This window comes from Homo sapiens, chromosome 17 (genome assembly GCF_000001405.40).
Source record: "Homo sapiens chromosome 17, GRCh38.p14 Primary Assembly".
Classification (NCBI taxonomy): domain Eukaryota; kingdom Metazoa; phylum Chordata; class Mammalia; order Primates; family Hominidae; genus Homo; species Homo sapiens.
The window spans coordinates 60,470,603-60,491,885 of NC_000017.11; the positions used below are offsets into that span (position 1 = coordinate 60,470,603).

Genomic DNA, 21,283 nt, shown 5'->3' on the forward strand with positions numbered 1-21,283 from the left:
GTTTCGCTCTTGTTGCCCAGGCTGGAGTGCAGTGGCACAATCTTGGCTCACTGCAACCTCTGCCTCCTGGGTTCAAGTGATTCTCCTGCCTCAGCCTCCAGAGTAGCTTGGATTACAGGCGCCTGCCACCATACCCAGCTAATTTTCCTATTTTTAGTAGAGATGGGTTTCACCATGTTGGCCAGACTGGATTTTTTTTTTTTTTTGAGATGGGGTCTTGCTCTGTTGCCCAGGCTGGAGTGCAGTGGCACGATCTCAGCTCACTGCAACCTCTGCCTCCTGGGTTCAAGCGATTCTCCTGCCTCAGCCTCCTGAGTAGCTGGGATTACAGGTGTGCACCACCACGCCTGGCTAATTTTTGTATTTTTTTTTTCAGTAGAGACAGAGTTTTATCATGTTGGCCAGACTGGTCTCAAACTCCTGACCTCAGATGATCTCTCTGCCTCAAACTCCCAAACTGCTTGGATTACAGGTGTGAGCCACAGGGCCCGGCCTCATTTTTAAATTCTGTTGTTTGTAGTTGTAGTTCTTGATATATTCTGGATACTAGAAACTTAATTGACATGTGATTTGCAAATATTTTCTCCCATTCCATAGGTTGTCTTTTTATTTTCTTGATGTTTTTGATTTACAAAAGTTTTTATTTTGATTAAGTCCAACAAATCTATAGTTTTACTTCTTCCTTTCCAATACTGATGATTTTTATTTTTCTTGTCGAATTTCTTCTGCTAAAGCTTCCAGTACAATGTTGAATACCACTAGTGAAAGCAGGCAACTATGTCTTGTTCCTGATCCTATGGGGGAAGCTTCTAGTCTTTCACTATAGAGTATGATGTTATTGTGAGTTTTTCATAAATACTCTTTATCATATTGAAGAAGTTCCTTTCTATTCCTAGCTTTGTGAATTTTTTTTTTTAATCATGAAAAGGTGTTAGATTTTGCTAAATGTCTTTTCTGTGTCAACTGAGATAACTGGGTTTTTTTTTTTTCCCTTCATCCTATTAACATGGTGTATCACACTGATGTTCTTACGTTGAACCACCCTTGCATTCCTGGGATAAATCTCACTTTGTCATAGTGTAAAATCCTTTTAATATTCTATTAGATTTGATTTGCTAGTATTTTGTTGAGGATTTTTTCATCCATATTCATAAGAGATACTCGTCTGAAATTGCCTTTTTTGTGATGTCATTTTTGGTCTTTGGTATCAGGGTAACGTTAACCTTTTAAAACGAGTTAGGGGCTGGGCGCAGTGGCTCATGCCTGTAATCCTAGAACTTTGGGAGGCCAAGGTGGGCAGGTCACCTGAGGTCAGGAGTTCGAGACCAGCCTGGCCAACATGGCAAAACCTCGTCTCTACTAAAAATACAAAAATTAGCCAGGTGTGGTGGTGGGAGCCTGTAATCCCAGCTACTTGGGTGGCTGAGGCAGGAGAATCGCTTGAACCTGGGAGGCGGAAGTTGCAGTGAGCCAAGATGGTGCCACTGCACTCCAGCCTGGGCAAAAGAGTAAGACTCTGTCTCATAAAATAAAGCAAATAAAATGAAAATGGAAACAAAAACAAAAACAAAAACAAAACAAAACAAGTTAGGAAGTGTTCCTTCCTCTGCAATTTCCTGGAGGAGTTTGAGAAGAACTAGTGCTAATTCTTTAAATGTTTGATAGAATTCACTAGTGAAGTCTTCAGTCCTGGACTTTGTTGGAAGGTTTTTGATTATGGATTTAATTTATTTACTTGTTATAGGTCTCGTAAGATTTTCTATTTCTTCTTGGGGCATTTAGGTAAATTGTCCATTTCTAAAAAATTTGTCCATTTTATTTATGTTATCTAATTCACTGGTGTTCAACTGTTCATAGGATTCACCTTAAATCCTTTTCATTTGTGGAAGGTTGGTAGTAATGTTCCAAGTCCCATTTCTGGTTTTAGTTATTTGAGTCTTCTGTCTTTTTCTTTGTTAGTCTGGTATGGTTTTAATTTCAAGTCAGGGAGGACATCAGTGTGAGAGTGTTTCTTCTGCTAGAGAACGTGGAATCTGCACCTGACACCTCAAACCATGGCAGCAATCTTACAAGCACTGGAGAGCTAGCCAAAGAAATGACTGGTACACAAAGAATTAGCAGACAGATTGAAAGAATCTAGTTCCTTAATAACCTCTATATATTCAGAATTAACCTACCCTGGAGGCCCTTAACATTGTACTGATTATCTTTTTATCAAAGTTTTTGTACTTTTAAGGTACACTGCTTATGTAGGTGGCTCCTATCTTATTTGCTACACATAGGTTTATGACATTTTTGTGAATTATACATTCTATTATCAATATCCCTTTTGTATTAACTAATGACTTTTATCCTGAATTCTTCCTTATTGTTAGTATTATTGTTTTGGGGTGTTTCCTTTTTATGATATAGCACTAGTTTTAATTTTTTAACCCTCTTGGTAACTGCCATCTTTAGGTAGGAGAATTGAGCCCATTTACATGTATTGTGATGATAATTATATTTGGTCTAACCTTTTCATCTTATTTTTCACTTATCATAATCAGTTTGTTCCTCTATTCACTTTGCTTATATCTAGCTTGGTCAAGTTTCAAATCATTCTCACCCATATTCACACCACCCTAGTTTGGAAGTTCTATCACACTTTTCTATTACACAAGGCATCAAATGCCCATCTCTAGCACTGATAATGTTTAAACTAAATAATGATGCCCTTTCCTACTCTACCCACTAAGATGAGAACTCTGTAACACTTTTACTCATCCATTCTCCCAAATGCATATTTTAAAAATAGGCTATATGTCTATTAAAAAACAACCTGAATGTAAGATGAACCTCCATTTTCCATCTAAAAATATTTTTGCCAACTCATATATATCAAGTTTTAGGGATATATGTGATAACATTAAAACACTTATAATTTATATTTAAGGCCAGGTGTGGTGGTCATGCCTGTAAGCCCAGTATTTTGGGAGGCCAAGGCAGGAGGATCACTTGAGCCCAGGAGTTTGAGACCAGCCTGGGCAACATACTGAGGTCCCTTTTCTATTAAAAACAAAAAGAATAAAAATTTATAACATTTAAATCTTTCCTTATACCAATATATTTAAAATCTAAATTAAATTTTCAAAAATCGCTTTTCCTCCTCACAATTTACAAAACTTTATCCAAATTATTCACATGTACCTTAAACATTTAGCTTCATCATCACCATAGTTATTTGAGTCATCTGACAGTTTTTATTTTATCTTTTAAATAAATCCTTCTTTGGAATGACAGCTTTTTAGAGTAAAACATTTTCACTTGTTTGAAAACCAGTACTTCTGAATCTCTGTATGATGTCATCAGAAATTTAATCCAAAGCTACCAGTAACCATCTGCAAAGCATTAGGACTGCTGGGCTTTTCAATTTCTCCTATGGCAAGCAGATATCCAGGATCTCCAGAACTGAATTACTCCATCACTTTTCAAAGTAATCTTTAAAAAGCCAGTTAATAAAATTATCCAACTCTTAAAACTATAAGGTCATGACCTCCAGAATAATTCTAAATCTGTTAAATTTCATTTTTTTTTTATTTTTTTTTTTTGAGACAGAGTTTTGCTCGTCGCCCAGGTTGGAGTGCAATGGTGCAATCTTGACTCACTGCAACCTCCACCTCCCAGGTTCAAGCGATTCTCCTCCCTCAGCCTCCCGAAGTAGCTGGGATCACAGGCACCCACCACCATGCCCAGTTAATTTTTTTGTATTTTTAGTAGAGACAGGGTTTCACCATGTTGGCCAGGCTGGTCTTGAACTCCTGACCTTAGGTGATCCACCCACCCTGGCCTATCAAAGTGCTGGGATTACAGGTGTTGAGCCACCCCGCCCAGCCTCATAACTTATTTAGAAAGAAAATTTCACTAGGTGATCTCTATAAAGCTTCCTGACATCAGCACTAACTGAAATTTCAGCTTAACATTTCTTTCCTAAATACTACTTTGTTGTTCAAAATACAGGTTGAGTATCCTTATTTGAAATGTTTGGGACCAATCATGTTTCAGATTTCAAATTTTTGGATTAGGAACACTAAACCTGTAATAGGTTTGACGTGGTAAATTTTTGTTTTTTGTTATTTCCAAAATTTCCTTTTCATCTCTGGTTTGAAAAGAATCCTCATTTAAGGCCTATTACAAATTCTCAATTTGTTCTTCATTCTCTTCCTACTCCATTTACATGTGAGACATATATTACAATATTCATTACCTACCACTGTTTTTATACTGTCTTCCCCTACCTTGGGATTTGTTATTATTAATTTAAGAACTTAAATAAAAGTTTAAAATTTTTATTTTAAAATAAAATAGAGGCCAGGTGCAGTGGCTCACGTCTGTAATCCCAGCACTTTGGGGGGCCAGGGCAGGCAGATCACGAGGTCAGGAGATCGACACCATCCAGGCTAACATGGTGAAACCCCATCTCTACTAAAAATACAAAAAAATTAGCTGGGCATGGTGGCGGGCGCCTATAGTCCCAGCTACTCGGGAGGCTGAGGCAGAAAAATCATTTAAACCTGGGAGGTGGAGCTTGCAGTGAGCCGCGATCACACCACTGCACTCCAGCCTGGGCGACAGAGACTCCATCTCAAAAAAAACAAAAACAAAAAACAAAAAACATGACTCAGACATAACATGACATGACATAACATAACATGATAGTTTCATTATATTGCCCAGGCAGGTCTCAAACTCCTTGGCTCAAACGATCCTCCTGCCTTGGCCTCCCAAAGTGCTGGGATTACAGGCATGAGGTACCATGCCTTGCTGGAACTTATATTTGGTTACAGAAGTTCCTCGATTATTTCCCTCAGATACGGTACATGGAGATATACTGGGTCTTCATGTATTTGAAAATTACTTCTTTTGCCCTTCAAACTGGTGAGGTACAGTATTTTCTCTCAGTAACTAAGATACTGCTACTTTCTTCTAGCTTCTAATTTCTATTTATCTTTGGATTTCAGGAAATTCAGCTGCCCAGGGTTCTCTTTCAATCCACATTCAACTCTTTATACACACACACACACACACACACACACACACACACACACACACGCTCCCCAACCCCACCCCACAGTCCAGTAGTTCAAGAAGTTCTTTTTATTATTTAAAAAAACCCACCAAAGGAATACATGTCAATGGTTTAAAAACATAATAAATAGTAGAAAAGGATTTAAAATAAAAAGTAAGTTTGTTCTGCCCAACTCTCACAAGCCCAAAAGCAATCTCTGTTCCCTTATCTGGAGGTTCTAGAGAATTCCTGACCTTAAACAAACCATGCTCACATGGACTGATTAGCTCCAAAGAAAAAACTGAAAAGGGGGTTGCGGGTGTGATTTTAAGTTTGTCATCCCCCAAAAACAAGCCAGTTCAGTAACTGTAGTTATTTCTGAGCAGCAGGGTTATAGACAACAATTTTCTTCCTCATAGCTTTCTGTATTTTCTGGATGTGTTTGGCCAGACATGTATAAGCAAGAAAAACAAAGCCATTAAATAGAAAATGAATAAATGGAAATAGGCAGAGTCTCCAAAGAATACAAAAGGACTGAAAAATGGTACCAGTTTTAACTACTTTCTATTAAGAAAGGCTAGGAAGGTTCTCTGACCTTTGTTGTATAATGTTTTGATGTTAGCCCCATATTAGAAATTGGCTTTGTGACATTAAATTGAAAAATATACTTTTATTCTTGCATCAGGCTCAAAGCCCCTGGGATTGGCCAAAGCATTTGATTAGTATCTGTTGTGCAAAACACTTCTTTTCTAATTCAATTAAACACATGGTCAATTAATACCCCAAATTTCTCTCTGCCTTAAAAAAAGGCTAAGTCATAAAATTTTAATAATCTTTTCAAATAATACTAAGTAGATGAAAAAAATTACTTATTATAAATAAATTATATTAAATACACCTGTAACGGCCAAGAATTTGGCAAGGTTAGTTGAATAGAGGCAAATTTTATTGTGAAATTTCAAATTCATAAAGACATAAGGTCTTGGTATACAGGCAGTGAGCTGGCATTATAAATGGCTTTGTTCCTTGGTCCAGACAATATTCTAGTTTCACATGTGCTTGCTAAAAAGACAGCTAGTTCTGAATTGTTAATTATCTATTGTTTTTAATTTATTTTAAAATTTTTTATAGAAATGAGGTCTTGCTGGTCTCCAATTCCTAAGCTCAAGCAATCCTCAAATCTTGGCCTCCCAAAGTGCTAGGATTACAGTCGTGAGCCACTGCACCCAGCCAGTTATCTACCCAATATTCCTCATGTTTTCTTCCTTAATGTAGACCCATGAGTTCATTCATGCACAATTAAAAATGTTTTGCTCCTCAGACTATACTTATTACACAGATTAGAAGTTGTGTAGAATGTGTCCCAGTTTCCAGTTTAAAAGACAAGTAATCCAAGAGACAGGGTTAGACTTCTGGGAAAGCAATTTTTTTCTGATTTAAAAAAGAGTCAGCTGGCATGCACTTTTTGACCTCCCCTCTTCTTACTGCCTATTAACACTTGCAGCCATAATGATGTGAGCTACTTGCTACAGATGACAAACTAGGAAGGAGAGAAGGAGACTGACTTGTCTTGTGAGAAAACTAAACCTTTTGGTAAGGCTAAAGCCAAATTTATACAGGAACCTTAAAATCAGAAGAAACACAGGTATTTGGGTGAAATAAATCTGAATATGTGAATAAAAAAATAAAGCACATACAAAAAAGAAAGTGTTTTATCTTTTGGTCAAGATTGCCATAGTGAATAATCTATGATAAAAATCATACAAAATCCCCTTTCTGTTCCAAATTAACCAGTTTATGTACATAGCAATATATAACTAACCTCCCAAATCCCATATGGGATAATGTAGTCTCCTATTCCTAAAAATATAAAATAGGCAGAAGAGGGGGAAAAAAATGAGAGATTATTTTTATGAGTACTATAAATTATAGGGCTAAATACTAATCCTTTTAGAGTTTCTGCACACAAATATTCCTATAATTTATCATACACTTCCAAAGTATATGTGGGAAATTATCACCTTCTAAAATATTATTTATAATTAAGTTTGCATATTACAAAATTAACTTCAGGATTGAATGTCTGTCTGACATAGATAAGCCTTGTATAAAAAAGGTCAATGACAGCCTCAAAAGACTGAAATCCAACTGGCCAAAAAAAAAAAAAAAAAATAGAGTTTTACTCAATTTTAGCTTAAAGCAACAATAATCTGGCTGGGTGTAGAGGTTCATGCCTGTAATCCCAGAACTTTGGGAGGCCCAGGCAGAGGATTGCTTGAGCCCAGGAGTTGGAGACCAGACTGGGCGATACAGCAAAACACCATTTCTAATAAAAATAAAGTAAAAAATATATTTAAAAAAAAACCCAAAACAAAAATACAATGGTTTTATAGGAGAATATTCTAGGTTTGAAAGGGTTCAGATTCAATTAACTCATCTAAAAAATACCTAGGAAATATGAACCTTAATTCCATAAAAATAGAAGACTGTAAATTCAATAAATTGATTGGACTTTAGTTACCTTACGATAAAGAATTTCTGCTGTTTAATTTTTTGACTTTATTTTAATTTTCCTTTAGTTTTATATAAAAAAATACTTTTAAGAAATGCCAAATCAAATTGGGGGACAAAGAGAAAACCTGTATGAAAATAGCTAAAGGTAAATGTAACATGCAGAAAAAAATAAGGACAATAAAGCAGAGTTACTTCTAGATTTGCTTGACTTTAAGGAAATCTGTAAAAAAGTAATAAATGTATACTCAAAGAAAAGTTATTCATAAGTAAAGCACTAATCTTGTTATGCACAATTATGGAAATGTAAACAAAGCAGGGGGTACAAAAGTAACACCAAAGAAAAAGTACATTTCTGGAGTTTCCGAGCATCCAGTGTCTACCACAGTTCCTAGTACACAAGCATTCAATAAATATTTGTTGAATGAATAAACAAACAAGCTCTATGACAAAGCAAAAAGATATGTAAGAAACACATTCTGGGCCAGGCACGGTGGCTCATGCCTGTAATCCCAGCACTTTGGGAGGCCAAGGCAGGTGGATCACCTGAAGTCAGGAGTTCGAGACCAGCCTGACCAACATGGCAAAACCCCATCTCTACTAAAAATACAAATAATTGGCGCATGCCTGTAATCCCAGCTACTTGGGAGGCTGAGACAGGAGAATCACTTGAACCCAGGAGGTGGAGGTTGCAGTGAGCCAAGACTGTGCCACTGCACTCCAGCCTGGGTGAAAGAGCGAGACTCTGTTTCAAAATAAAAATAAAAAAAGAAACACATTCTGGTTCATAATACTCAAATCTAACCTAAGCTGTCTACAGCAGATTAACTATATTTTAGAGATGAGAGGATGCCAGACTAGTGAAACTATGACATATAAATATCATCTCAGAGATTTACTCAAATGTTGGCATATACTTATAAGAGCTAAAACTATAAAAGCCACTAAATACTGTTATAGCACGTAATTACAGGATATGTTCCAACTTACCTCACACAACATTCTACTGCACGAAACCAATGAAGCATCTCATCGTGTAGAGTACACAACTGAAGGCAGGACAGAAAAACTTTCTCAGCATCACTGTACCAGCCTGCATCTGAAAGAAAGCCACCTAAAAAAATAAGAAACACCAATTTTAGAAAACTTGATAAATAGCCTGCAAGATAAAATGACATGCTGACAGTGAATATTACCTAAATTAAAAATAAACCATGATAGTAAAATCTTGTGTTTAGCATACAACACAGGTATGAACTGTGAGATTTTTATATAAAGGTTTTGAACTACGGGAAGGAGGGTTAAGGCTAAGACCTTGAATAAGGAGTCAAAAGTTTGAACCTTCTAAGAATACTCCATGGCCTAAGAGTTGTTACTTTCCAGCTAATGAGCTAACTAAATTATTTTACTATTTTCATCTTGGAGTGTACATATAACTTTAGCATCTCCCAATACACAATCCCAAAGAAGATAAATCTGAATATACTTAGTATAGCAGCACATAACGGAGGATACACAGATAAAAAAAGACTGTGATCCTTAATCGATTATCTTATTATTTTTTTAAACAAGAAATTACTGTCCTGGGCAGTATTTCCTCAGCATATTATCTTTTTGAGGATTCTGCCTCCTAAATATGACTAACATTTAATACACTGTTACTACACCATGTAAAACACTTCGTATTGTGGTAACTACATAACTACACGAACTCACTCATTTAACTTTCACAACACACCTTCGACTTAAATAACTGCCCCAACGTAACAGATGAAAACACTTGAGTCACAGAAAAACCAAAGCTTATAATCCAGTAAGTGAAAAGATTCAGATGCACACAATGTGACTTCAGAGGCTAAGTCTGTAGTCCCTATACTGCAACAGTTATTAAGGAATAATTTCTTAGTGCTATTCAGGATTAGTTACAATAACCAGAAAACACAAAGTAACATACCATCATGGTATGTTCTAAAACACATTTTTTTGCACATTAAAAAATCTCTGAAATTATCTGAGACCAGCCTGGGCAATATGGCAAAATCCTGTCTCTACAAAAGATACAAAAGTAAGCCGGATGTGGTGGCGAGTGCCTGTAGTCCCAGCTACTCAGGAGGCTGGGGTGGGAGAATGGCTTGAGCCTGGGAGGCAGAGGCTGCAGTGAGCGGAGATCACACCACTGCCCTCCAGCCTGGGCAACAGAGCCAGCCAGACCTTGTCTCAAACAACAACAACAACAAAACTCTGAAATTAGAGTACGTCATAAAAGTAATGGTATATTACAATAAGTGGCTTTTTCTTGGCACACAAAAAATATGGTGTCTTAATAGTATTAATGTATGAGTTGACAAAATATTATATTTTGCTTAGACTCATGTTTTATATTTAATTAAAACTACATGTAATTAAGCATTTTTTTAATTGGAGAGAACTGTGCTTTAAAACTTTCTAGCTTCCTCACCAAGTTGAGCAGAATAATGAGATTATTCATATTCATACTAAGCAATATTCTACTTATCATCCCAACATATTGTATATTGTGCTGGTTATTAGAATACTGTCTCTCAGCTTCAAACCCATACTACTAGAGTCTGTTTGAGGATGCTGAGCAAGGACTCTGCAAACCACATTTCTCCTTTGCTAGCTGGCTCCGTTTGGCTCAGCGAATAGGAGGCACTGGAGAAATGGGCTGCATGACTGGAAGAGCAATGGACACTCTCCTTCCTGTATCTGTTAGTGAGGTTCCTGCTGACAAAAACACCCCAGGGTGTGCTTCTTTTCTTTGGTGGTAGTTCATTCCATTAAATAATAGTCAATACCAGTTGCAGTTTTCCAATGCTTGCAAAACCAGTTTCACAGCACTCCATCAAACATCAGCAATAGCCATCCAGGTTGCTCCTCCTAGAGGTCTAGATCCTAGACCCACGGGCCCTCTTTTCAGACCTCTGAGGCACCAGTAACAGCCTAGCAGTATCCCAGCTTCATGGGGCAAACCCCTCCAACTCCTACTTTTTAATAATTCCAATCTCTTTCCTTGGTTCCCCAAGCCATAGGTATGGTAGCCAATTCTCACAGCTGCTTTGTCCATAATACCCTACTGTTCCCTTTTTGCCTCTTTAGTTCTCTAGTATCTGGTTAAAAACGATTTGTATTAGGCCAGGTACAGTGGCTCATGCCTGTAATTCCAGCACTTTTGGAGGCCAAGGTGGAAGGATCCCTTGAGGCCAAGAGTTCAAGACCAGCCTGGGTAACACAGTGAGACCCTGTCTCCTAAATAAATAAATATTTTTTATGCTGATAATTGATTTTATAGCCTAGTGAAATGAACTATTCAGATATAACATCTACTTCATCCACATCTTGTTGAGAAGGAGAAAATTTATACAATGTACTTAATTTTATTTGGTTCTTAGTTTGACAATCCCTAAAAATTTAGGTTTATTCTAGAGCATGACAAAGTCAAAACTTGTAATATTGACCCTAGAATTCACCTAAACTCAAGGAAAATACTACAATAGAGCTGGGCTTCAGCTAAGTCAAATCCAGAACCAAATTTATTTTCTCTGTTCAAAACAAATGAGATCCTTGTTTTCAAAAGAAGTTAGGAAAAGAAGACAACAGCACAATTGTGGCAGCTGTTACAGCTTCTTACAATGACCATTTGTGCTTGAAAATGAAGTGGACATTTGCTGTTAATAGAAGTATCAATCCAGTAACCACAGGATAGGTTACTATTTCTTTTTTTAGAGACAGAGTTTGCTCTTGTTGCCCAGGCTAGAGTGCAATAGCGTGATCTCGGCTCACCGCAACCTCCGCCTCCTGGGTTCAAGTGATTCTCCTACCTCAGCCTCCTGAGTAGCTGAGATTACAGGCATGTGCCACCACGCCCGGCTAATTTTGTATTTTTAGTAGAGACGGGTTTCTCCATGTTGGTCAGGCTGGTCTCAAACTTCTAACCTCAGGAGATCCGCCCACCTCAGCCTCCCAAAGTGCTGGGATTACAGGTGTGAGCCACCGCGTCCGGCCGGGTTACTACTTCGATTAAAAACTTAATTTTAAGAAATGTGTTCCTTGACTATAAGCATCAAATTAAATACTTATAAACAAGAAATAAATGAATCCAAACCATTTTAAAAACATATTCCTGTTAAGAAATGTTTAATTTTCCCTTTGAATAGCCTCATCCCAATAAAGATGTGGCCTGTCAGAAAAGGGCTTGAATGTCCAGGGTGATAGTCCTACTTAGTAATGCAGTCCTTTCTAAAAGACAATTCTTTTTTATTTTTTAGGATTAAAAATTTATTATTATTATACTTTAAGTTCTAGGGTACATGTGCACAACGTGCAGGTTACATGTGCCATGTTGGTTTGCTGCACCCATCAACTCGTCATTTACATTAGGTATTTCTCCTAACGCTATCCCTCCCCCAGACCGCCACCCCACAACAGGCCCTGGTGTGTGAGGTTCCCTGCCCTGTGTCCAAGTGTTCTCATTGTTCAATTCCCACCTGAGTGAGAACATGTGGTATTTGGTTTTCTGTCCTTGTGATAGTTTGCTCAGAATGATGGTTTCCAGCTTCATCCATGTCCCTACAAAGGACATGAACTCATCCTGTTTTCTGGCTGCATAGTATTCCATGGTGTATATGCACCACATTTTCTTAATCCAGTCTATCATTGATGGACATTTGGGTTGGTTCCATGTCTTTGCTATTGTGAAGTGCCGTAATAAACATACATGTGCATATGTCTTTATAGTAGCATGATTTATAATCCTTTGGGTATATACCCAGTAATGGGATTGCAGGGTCAAATAGTATTTCTAGTTCTAGATCCTTGAGGAATCGCCACACTGTCTTCCACAATAGTTGAACTAGTTTACACTCCCACCAACAGTGTAAAAGTGTTCCTATTTCTCCGCATCTTCTCCAGCACCTGTTTCCTGATTTTTTAATGATCACCATTCTAACTGGTGTGAGATGGTATCTCACTGTGGTTTTGATTTGCATTTCTCTGATGACCAGTGATGATGAGTATTTTTTCATGTGTCTGTTGGCTGCATAAATGTCTTCTTTTGAGAAGTGTCTGCTCATGTCCTTTGCCCACTTTTTGATGGGGTTGTTTGATTTTTTCTTGTAAATTCGCTTAAGTTCTTTGTAGATTCTGGGTATCAGCCCATTGTCAGATAGGTAGATTGCAAAAATTTTCTCCATTCTGTAGGTCGCCTGTTCACTCTGATGACAGTTTCTTTTTTTTTGAGATGGAGACTTGCTCTGTCGCCCAGGCTGGAGTGCAGTAGCGCAATCTCGGCTCACTGCAAGCTCTGCCTCCTGGGTTCACGCCATTCTCCTGCCTGAGCCTCCCAAATAGCTGGGACTATAGGCGCCCACCACCACACCTGGCTATTTTTTTGTATTTTTAGTAGAGACGGGGTTTCACCATGTTAGCCAGGATGGTCTCGATCTCCCGACCTCGTGATCCGCTCGCCTCGGCCTCCCAAAGTGCTAGGATTACAGGCGTGAGCCACCGCACCTAGCCGATGGTAGTTTCTTTTGCTGTGCAGAAGCTCTTTAGTTTAATTAGATCCCATTTGTCAATTTTGGCTTTTGTTGCCATTGCTTTTCGTGTTTTAGACATGAAGTCCTTGCCCGTGCCTATGTCCTGAATGGTATTGCCCAGGTTTTCTTCTACGGTTTTTATGGTTTTAGGTCTAACATTTAAGTCTTTAATCCATCTTGAATTAATTTTTGTATAACGTGTAAGGAAGGGATCCAGTTTCAGCTTTCTACCTACGGCTAGCCAGTTTTCCCAGCACCATTTATTAAATAGGGAATCCTTTCCTCATTTCTTGTTTTTGTCAGGTTTGTCAAAGATCAGATGGTTGTAGATGTGTGGTATTATTTATGAGGGCTGTGTTCTGTTCCACTGGTCTATATCTGTTTTGGTACCAGTACCACGCTGTTTTGGTTACTGCAGCCTTGTAGTATAGTTTGAAGTCAGGTAGTGTGATGCCTCCAGCTTTGTTCTTTTGGCTTAGGATTGGCTTGGCAATGCGGGCTCTTTTTTGGTTCCATATGAACTTTAGAGTAGTTTTTTCCAATCCTGTGAAGAAAGTCATTGGTAGCTTGATGGAGATGGCATTGAATCTATAAATTACCTTGCACAGTACAGCCATTTTCATGATACTGATTCTTCCTATTCATGAGCATGGAATGTTCTTCCATTTGTTTGTGTCCTCTTTTATTTTGTTGAGCAGTAGTTTGTAGTTCTCCTTGAAGAGGTCCTTCACATCCCTTGTAGGTTGGATTCCTAGGTATTTTATTCTCTCTGAAGCAACTGTGAATGGGAGTTCACTCATAATTTGGCTGTTTATGTGTTATTGGTGCATAAGAATGCTTGTGATTTTTGCACTTTGATTTTGTATCCTGAGACTTTAAGGAAGTTGCTTATCAGCTTAAGGAGATTTTGGGCTGAGATGATGGGGTTTCCTAAATATACAATCATGTCATCTGCAAACAGGGACAATTTGACTTCCTCTCTTCCTATCTGAATACCCTTTATTTCTTTCCCTTGCCTGACCGCCCTGGCCAGAACTTCCAACACTATGTTGAATAGGAGTGATGAGAGAAAGACAGAAAACTGTCTTGTGCCAGTTTTCAAAGGGAATGCTTCCAGTTTTTGCCCATTCAGTATGATACTGGCTGTGGGTCTGTCTTAAACGGCTATTATTTTGAGTTACATTCCATAAATACCTAATTTATTGAGAGTTGAATTTTGTCAAAGGCCTTTCCTGCCTCTATTGAGATAATCATGTGGTTTTTGTCTTTGGTTCTGTTTATGTTATGGATTACGTTTATTGATTTGCATATGTTGAACCAGCCTTGCATCCCAGGGATGAAGCCAACTTGATCTTGGTGGATAAGCTTTTTGATGTGCTGCTGGATTCAGTTTGCCGGTATTTTATTGAGGATTTTCGCATCGATGTTCATCAGGGATATTGGTCTAAAATTCTCTTTTTTTGTTGTGTCTCTGCCAGGCTTTGGTATCAGGATGATGCTGGCCTCATAAAATGAGTTAGGGAGAGTTCCCTCTCTATTGATTGGAAAAGTTTCAGAAGGAATGGTACCAGCTCCTCTTTGTAGCTCTGGTAGAATTTGGCTGTGAATCAGTCTGGTCCTAGACTTCTTTTGGTTGGTAGGCTATTAATTATTGCCTCAATTCCGGAGCCTGTTATTGGTCTATTCAGAGATTCAACTTCTTTCTGGTTTAGTCTTGGGAGGGTGTATGTGTCCGGGCATTTATCCATTTCTTTTAGATTTTCTAGTTTATTTGCTTAGAGGTATTTATAGTATTCTCTGATGGTAGTCTGTATTTCTGTAGGATCAGTGGTGATATCCCCTTTATCATTTTTTATTGCATCTATTTGATTCTTCTTTTCTTCTTTATTAGTCTTGCTAGTGGTCTATCAATTTTGTTGATCTTTTCAAAAACCCAGCTCCTGGATTCACTGATTTTTTTGAAGGGTTTTTTGTGTCTCTATCTCCTTCAGTTCTGCTCTGATCTTAGTTATTTCTTGCCTTCTGCTAGCTTTCGAACTTGTTTGCTCTTGCTTCTCTAGCTCTTTTAATTGTGATGGTAGGGTGTGAATTGTAGATCTTTCCTGCTTTCTCTTGTGGGCTATTAGTGCTATAAATTTACCTCTACACACAGCTTTAAATGTGTCCCAGAGATTCTGGTTCGTTGTGTCTTTGTTCTTATTGGTTTCAAAGACATCTTTATTTCTGCCTTCATTTCGTTATTTACCCAGTAGTCATTCAGGAGCAGGCTGTTCAGTTTCCACGTAGTTGTGTGGTTTTGAGCGACTTTCTTAATCCTGAGTTCTAATTTGACTGCACTGAGGTCTGAGAGACAGTTTGTTGTGATTTCTGTTCTTTTACATTTGCCAAGGAGTGCTTTACTTTCAACTATGTGGTCAATTTTGGAATAAGTACGATGTGGTGCTGAGAAGAATATATTCTGTTGATTTGGGGTGGAGAGTTCTGTAGATGTCTATTAGGTCTGCTTGGTGCAGAACTGAGTTCAAATCCTGGATATCCTTGTTAACCTTCTGTCTCATTGATCTGTCTAATATTGACAGTGGGGTGTTAAAGTCTCCCATTATTATTATGTGGGAGTCTAAGTCTCTTTGTAGGTCTCTAAGGACTTGCCTTATGAATCTGAGTGCTCCTGTATTGGGTGCATATATATTTAGGATAGTTAGCTCTTCTTGTCGAATTGATCCCTTTACCATTATGTGATGGCCTCGTCTCTTTTGATCTTTGTTGGTTTAAAGTCTGTTTTATCAGAGACTAGGATTGCAACCCCTGCTTTTTTTTGCTTTCCACTTGCTTGGTAGATCTTTCTCCATCCCTTTATTTTGAGCCTACGTGTGTCTCTGCATGTGAGATGGGTCTCCTAAATACAGCACACTGATGGGTTTTGCGTCTTTATCCAGTTTGCCAGTCTGTGTCTTTTAATTGGGGCATTTAGCCCATTTATATTTAAGGTTAGTATTGTTATGTGTGAATTTGATCCTGTCACTATGATGTTAGCCGGTTATTTTGGCCATTAGTTGATGCAGTTTCTTCCGAGCATCGATGGTCTTTACAATTTTGCATGTTTTTGCAGTGGCTGGTACCGGTTGTTCCTTTCCATCTTTAGTGCTTCCTTCAGAAGCTCTTGTAAGGCAGGCCTGGTGGTGACAAAATCTCTCAGCATTTGCTTATCTGTAAAGGATTTTATTTCTCCTTCACTTATGAAGCTTAGTTTGGCTGGATATGAAATTCTGGGTTGAAAATTCTTTTCTTTAAGAATGTTGAATATTGGCCCCCACTCTCTTCTGGCTTGTAGAGTTTCTGCTGAGAGATCCACGGTTAGGCTGATGGGGTTCCCTTTGTGGGTAACCTGACCTTTCTTTCTGGCTGCTCTTAACATTTTTTCCTTCATTTTTATCTTGGGGAATCTGACAATTGTGTGTCTTGGGGTTGCTCTTCTCAAGGAATTATCTTTGTGGTGTTCTCTGTATTTCCTGAATTTGAATGTTGGCCTGCCTTGCTAGGTTGGGGAAGTTCTCCTGGATAATATCCTGAAGTGTCTTCCAGCTTGGTTCCATTCTCCCCGTCACTTTCGGGTACACCAATCAAACGTAGATTTGGTATTTTCACATAGTCCTGTATTTCTTGGAGGCTTTGTTTGTTTCTTTTTACTCTCTTTTCTCTAAACTTCTCTTCTCACTTCATTTCATTAATTTGATCTTCAATCACTGATACCCTTTCTTCCACTAGATCGAATCGGCTACTGAAGCATGTGCATGTGTCATGTAGTTCTCGCGCCATGGTTTTCAGCTCCATCAGGTCATTTAAGGTCTTCTCTACACTGTTTATTCTAGTTAGCCATTTGTCTAATCTTTTTTCAAGGTTTTTAGCTTCCTTGCGATGGGTTCGAACATCCTCCTTTAGCTTGGAGAAGTCTGTTATTACCAACCTTCTGAAGCCTACTTCTGTCAACTTGTCAAAGTCATTCTCCATCTGGCTTTGTTCCATTGCTGGCGAGGAGCTGCAATCCCTTGGAGGAGAAAAGGCACTCTGGTTTTTAGAATTTTCAGCTTTTCTGCTCTGGTTTCTCCCCATCTTTGTGGTTTTATCTGCCTTTGGTCTTTGATGATGGTGACCTACAGGTGGGGTTTTGGTGTGGATGTCCTTTTAGTTTATGTCGATGCTATTCCTTTCTGTTTGTTAGTTTTCCTTGTAACAGTCAGGTCCCTCAGCTGCAGTCTGTTGGGAGTTTGCAGGAGGTCCACTCCAGACCTTACTTGCTGGGGTATCACCAGCGAAAGCTGCAGAACAGCAAATATTGCAGAACAGCAAATATTGCTGCCTGATCCTTCCTCTGGAAGCTTCGTCTCAGAGGGGCACCTGGCTGTATGAGGTGTCAGTCAGCCCCTACTGGGAGGTGTCTCACAGTTAGGCTACACGGGGGTCAGGGACCCACTTGAGGAGGCAGTCTGTCTGTTCTCAGAGCTCAAACTCCGTGCTGGGAGAATCACTGCTCTCTTCAGAGCTGTCAGACAGGGATGTTTAAGTCTGCAGAAGTTTCTGCTGCCTTTTGTTCAGCTATGCCCTGACCCCAGAGGTCAAAAAATATTATTTATATTAAATTCTGTCTCTATAACATGGATGGATTTTGAAAGTATTATGGTAAATAAAACAAGCCAGTCACAAAGACCATGTATTTCAAGAGTACACTTATATAAAATGTCCAGAACAGGCAAATCTATAGAGACAGAAAGTAGATGATGTTTGCCTGGTGTTGGAGAGAAATGGGAGTGACTGCTAATGGGTACTGTTTTCTTTTTGGGGAGGAAATAATGTTCTAAAACTTTTTGTGGTGATGTCTGCAAAACTCTTCTGGTATGACTTTTTCCTCTTGGGTAATTTTAGGATTAAGACTGATAACTGTGAGTTTGCCAGGACTTGGTTCTCTCTCCAAGGTATCTAGTTGGGTCATTATAATGGCCAGATTGGCATAAGTAGATGTGGAGATGATAGAGGACCTCAATGAACACTAGTCTTCCTTTCATCTTCTTTCATACTAAATTTCTCTCACACACACATTTTTACATGATCATATAGAACTAAAGGGATATCATCCTTAACATTAGTCAAGATCACAAGTTTTGAGAGACTTTCTTTGGACAATTCTTTGTCGCTACTGACATTTCCATAAGACTATTTAAAAAATAAATGCTGGCCAGGCACGGTGGCTCATGCCTGTAATCCCAGCACTTTGGGAGACTGAGCTGGGTGGATCACGAAGTCATGAGTTTGAGACCAGCCTGCCCAACATAGTGAAACCTCATCACTACTAAAAATACAAAAAATTAGCTGGGTATGGTGGCAGGTGCCTATAATCCCAGCTACTCGGGAGGCTGAGGCAGGAGAATGGCTTGAACCCGGGAGGAGGAGGTTGCAGTGAGCTGAGATCACACTATTGCACTCCAGCCTGGGCGACAGTACAAGACTCTGTCTCAAATAAAAAAAAAGAAATAATGAGGGTCCTTTTCAAAAAAATATGCTCTGAAGTCCCTTCGGCAACCTGTCTTTGGCTACTACAAAGAATTATTCTAAGATTAAACAGGCCAGGCACGGTGCCTCAGGCCTGTAATCCCAGCACTTTGGGAGGCTGAGGTGGACAGATCACCTGAGGTTAGCAATTTGAGACCAGCCTGGCCAACATGATAAAACACCATCTCTACTAAAAACACAAAAATTAGATGAGTGTGGTGGCGCATGCCTGTAGTCCCAGCTACCTGTGAGGCTGAGGCAGCAGAATCACTTCAACCCAGGAGGCGGAGGCTGCAGTGAGCTGAGATCGTGCCACTGCACTCCAGTCTGGGCGACAGAGTGGGACCATGTCTCAAAAAAAAAAAAAAAAAAAAAGATTAAAAATGACTGTTAAAAGTTGTTGGGAAGGATGTATACGCACGTGTGTACACTTTAAGACAGAAAACACATACATGGCACATGCACACAGTAATGAGAGAAGTTAAAAACAAAAGTAGGGCTGGGTGCAGTGGCTCACGCCTATAATCCCAGCACTTTTGGTGGCAGAGGTGGGTGGACCACTTGACGTCAGGAGTTTGAGACCAGTCTGGCCAACATGGTGAACCCCGTCTCTACTAAAAATACAAAAATTAGTTGGGTGTGGTGGCACACGCCTGTAATCTCGGCTACTTGGGAGGCTGAGGAAGGAGAATAGCTTGAACACAAGAGGCGGAAGTTGCAGTGAGCAAAAATCATGCCACTGCACTCCAGCCTGGGTGATAGAGTGAGACTCCATCTCAGAAAACAAAACAAAACAAAACAAAACAAAACAAAAACCCCCAAACAAAAATAGTTTGTGGTGATCAAATAGTACTGTATCTTGATAGTGATGGTGGTTGTACGACTCTACATGGAATCCACCGCACAGACACACATACAAACAAATGAGTGCACGTAAAAACTGGTGAAAACTAAGTAAGGCCAGTAGTCTAGTTAATGGTATAACACCAGTGTCAATTTCTTGGTTTTGATATTGCCCTACAGTTATATAATATGTGACCACTGGGGGAAGCTGGAGGAATGGTTCAAAGAACTCTGGGTACTCTTTTGCAACTTCCTATGAATCTACAGTCACTTCAAAAAAAGTTTGTTTAATAGAGAAAAAAGAGCCAAGTGCAGTGGCTCATGCCTGTAATTCCAGTAGTTTGGGAAGAATGCTTGAGCCCAGGAGTTCAAGACCAGCCTGGGCAACATAGCAAGACCTTGTCTCAACAAAAATAAAAATTAGCTGTGTATGTTGACACATGCCTGTTGTCCTAGCTACTCGGGAAGCTGAAGCAGGAAGACTGCTTGAGCCCAAGTTTGAAGTTACAGTGAGCTATGATTGTTGATATGGTTTGGCTCTGTGTCCCCACACAAATCTCATCTTGAATTGTAGCTCCCATAATTCCCACATTATGGGAGGGACCTGGTGGGAGATAACTGAATCATGGGGGCAGTCTCCCCAATACTGTTCTTGTGGTAGTAAGTCTCACGAGATCTGATGGTTTTATAAGGGGTTTCCCCTTTCATTTGGCTCATTCTGTTTTGCCTGCCACCATGTAAGATGTGCCTTTTACCTTCCACCATGATTGTGAGGCCTCCCCAGCCACGTGGAACTATGAGTCCATTAAACCTCATTTTCCTTTATAAATTATCCAGTCTCAGGTATGTCTTTAACAGCAGCATGAAAATGAACTAATAAAGTAAACTGGTGCCAGCAGAGTGGGGAGCTGCTATAAAGATACCTGAAAATGTGGAAGCAACTTTGGAACTGGGTAACAGGCAAAGTTTGGAACAGTTTGGAGGGCTCAGAAGAAGACAGAAAAATGTAGGAAAAGTTTGGAACTTCCTAGAGACTTGTTGAATAGCTTTGATCAAAATGCTGATAATGATATGGACAGTGAAATCCAGGCTGAGGTGGTCTCAGATGGAGATGAGGAACTTGTTGGAAACTGGAGTAAAGGTGACTCTTGCTATATTTTAGCCAAAAGACTGGTGACATTTTGTCCCTGCCTCAGAGATGTGTGGAACCTTTAACTTGAGGGAGATGATTTAGGGTATCTGGCAGAAGAAATTTCCAAGCAACAAAGCATTTAAGAGGTGACTGGAGTGCTGTTAAAAGCATTGTCTCATTTATTTTTATTTTTTTATTTTTATTTTTTTGAGATGAAGTTTTGCTTTGTCACCCAGGCTGGAGTGCAGTGGGGTGATCTCAGCAGTACAGTGAGGCGATTTCAACTCACTGCAACCTCTGCCTTCCAGGTTCAAGTGATTCTCCTGCCTCAGCCTCCCGAGTAGCTGAGATTACAGGCACCCGCCAACAGGCCCGGCTAGTTTTTGTATTTTTAGTAGAGATACGGTTTCACCATGTTGGCCAGGCTGGTCTCAAACTCCTGATATCAAAACAATCCACCCACCTTGGCCTCCCAAAGTGCTGGGACTAGAGGTGTGAGCTACTGCACCCAGTCAGCATTCAGTTTTAAAAGGAAAACAGAGCATAAAAGTTTGGAAAATTTGCAGCCTCAGGATGCGATAGAAAAGAAAAACTCATTTTGTGAGAAGAACTGCAAGCTGGCAGCAGAAATTTGCATGAGTAACGAGCAGCCAA

The 21,283-nt window shown here is 39.3% G+C and overlaps 1 protein-coding gene across 4 annotated transcripts in view; it reads right to left on the minus strand.

Moving 5' to 3' along the window:
- Positions 1-21,283, minus strand: part of APPBP2 (amyloid beta precursor protein binding protein 2) — an 83,085-nt gene that overhangs the window by 27,445 nt on the left and 34,357 nt on the right. For all 4 annotated transcript variants that reach the window (NM_001282476.2, NM_006380.5, XM_047435116.1 and 1 more), the window contains one exon: positions 8,546-8,669. In NM_001282476.2, the coding sequence (NP_001269405.1) occupies positions 8,546-8,669 (124 nt within the window). The remainder of the gene's footprint in view (positions 1-8,545; positions 8,670-21,283) is intronic.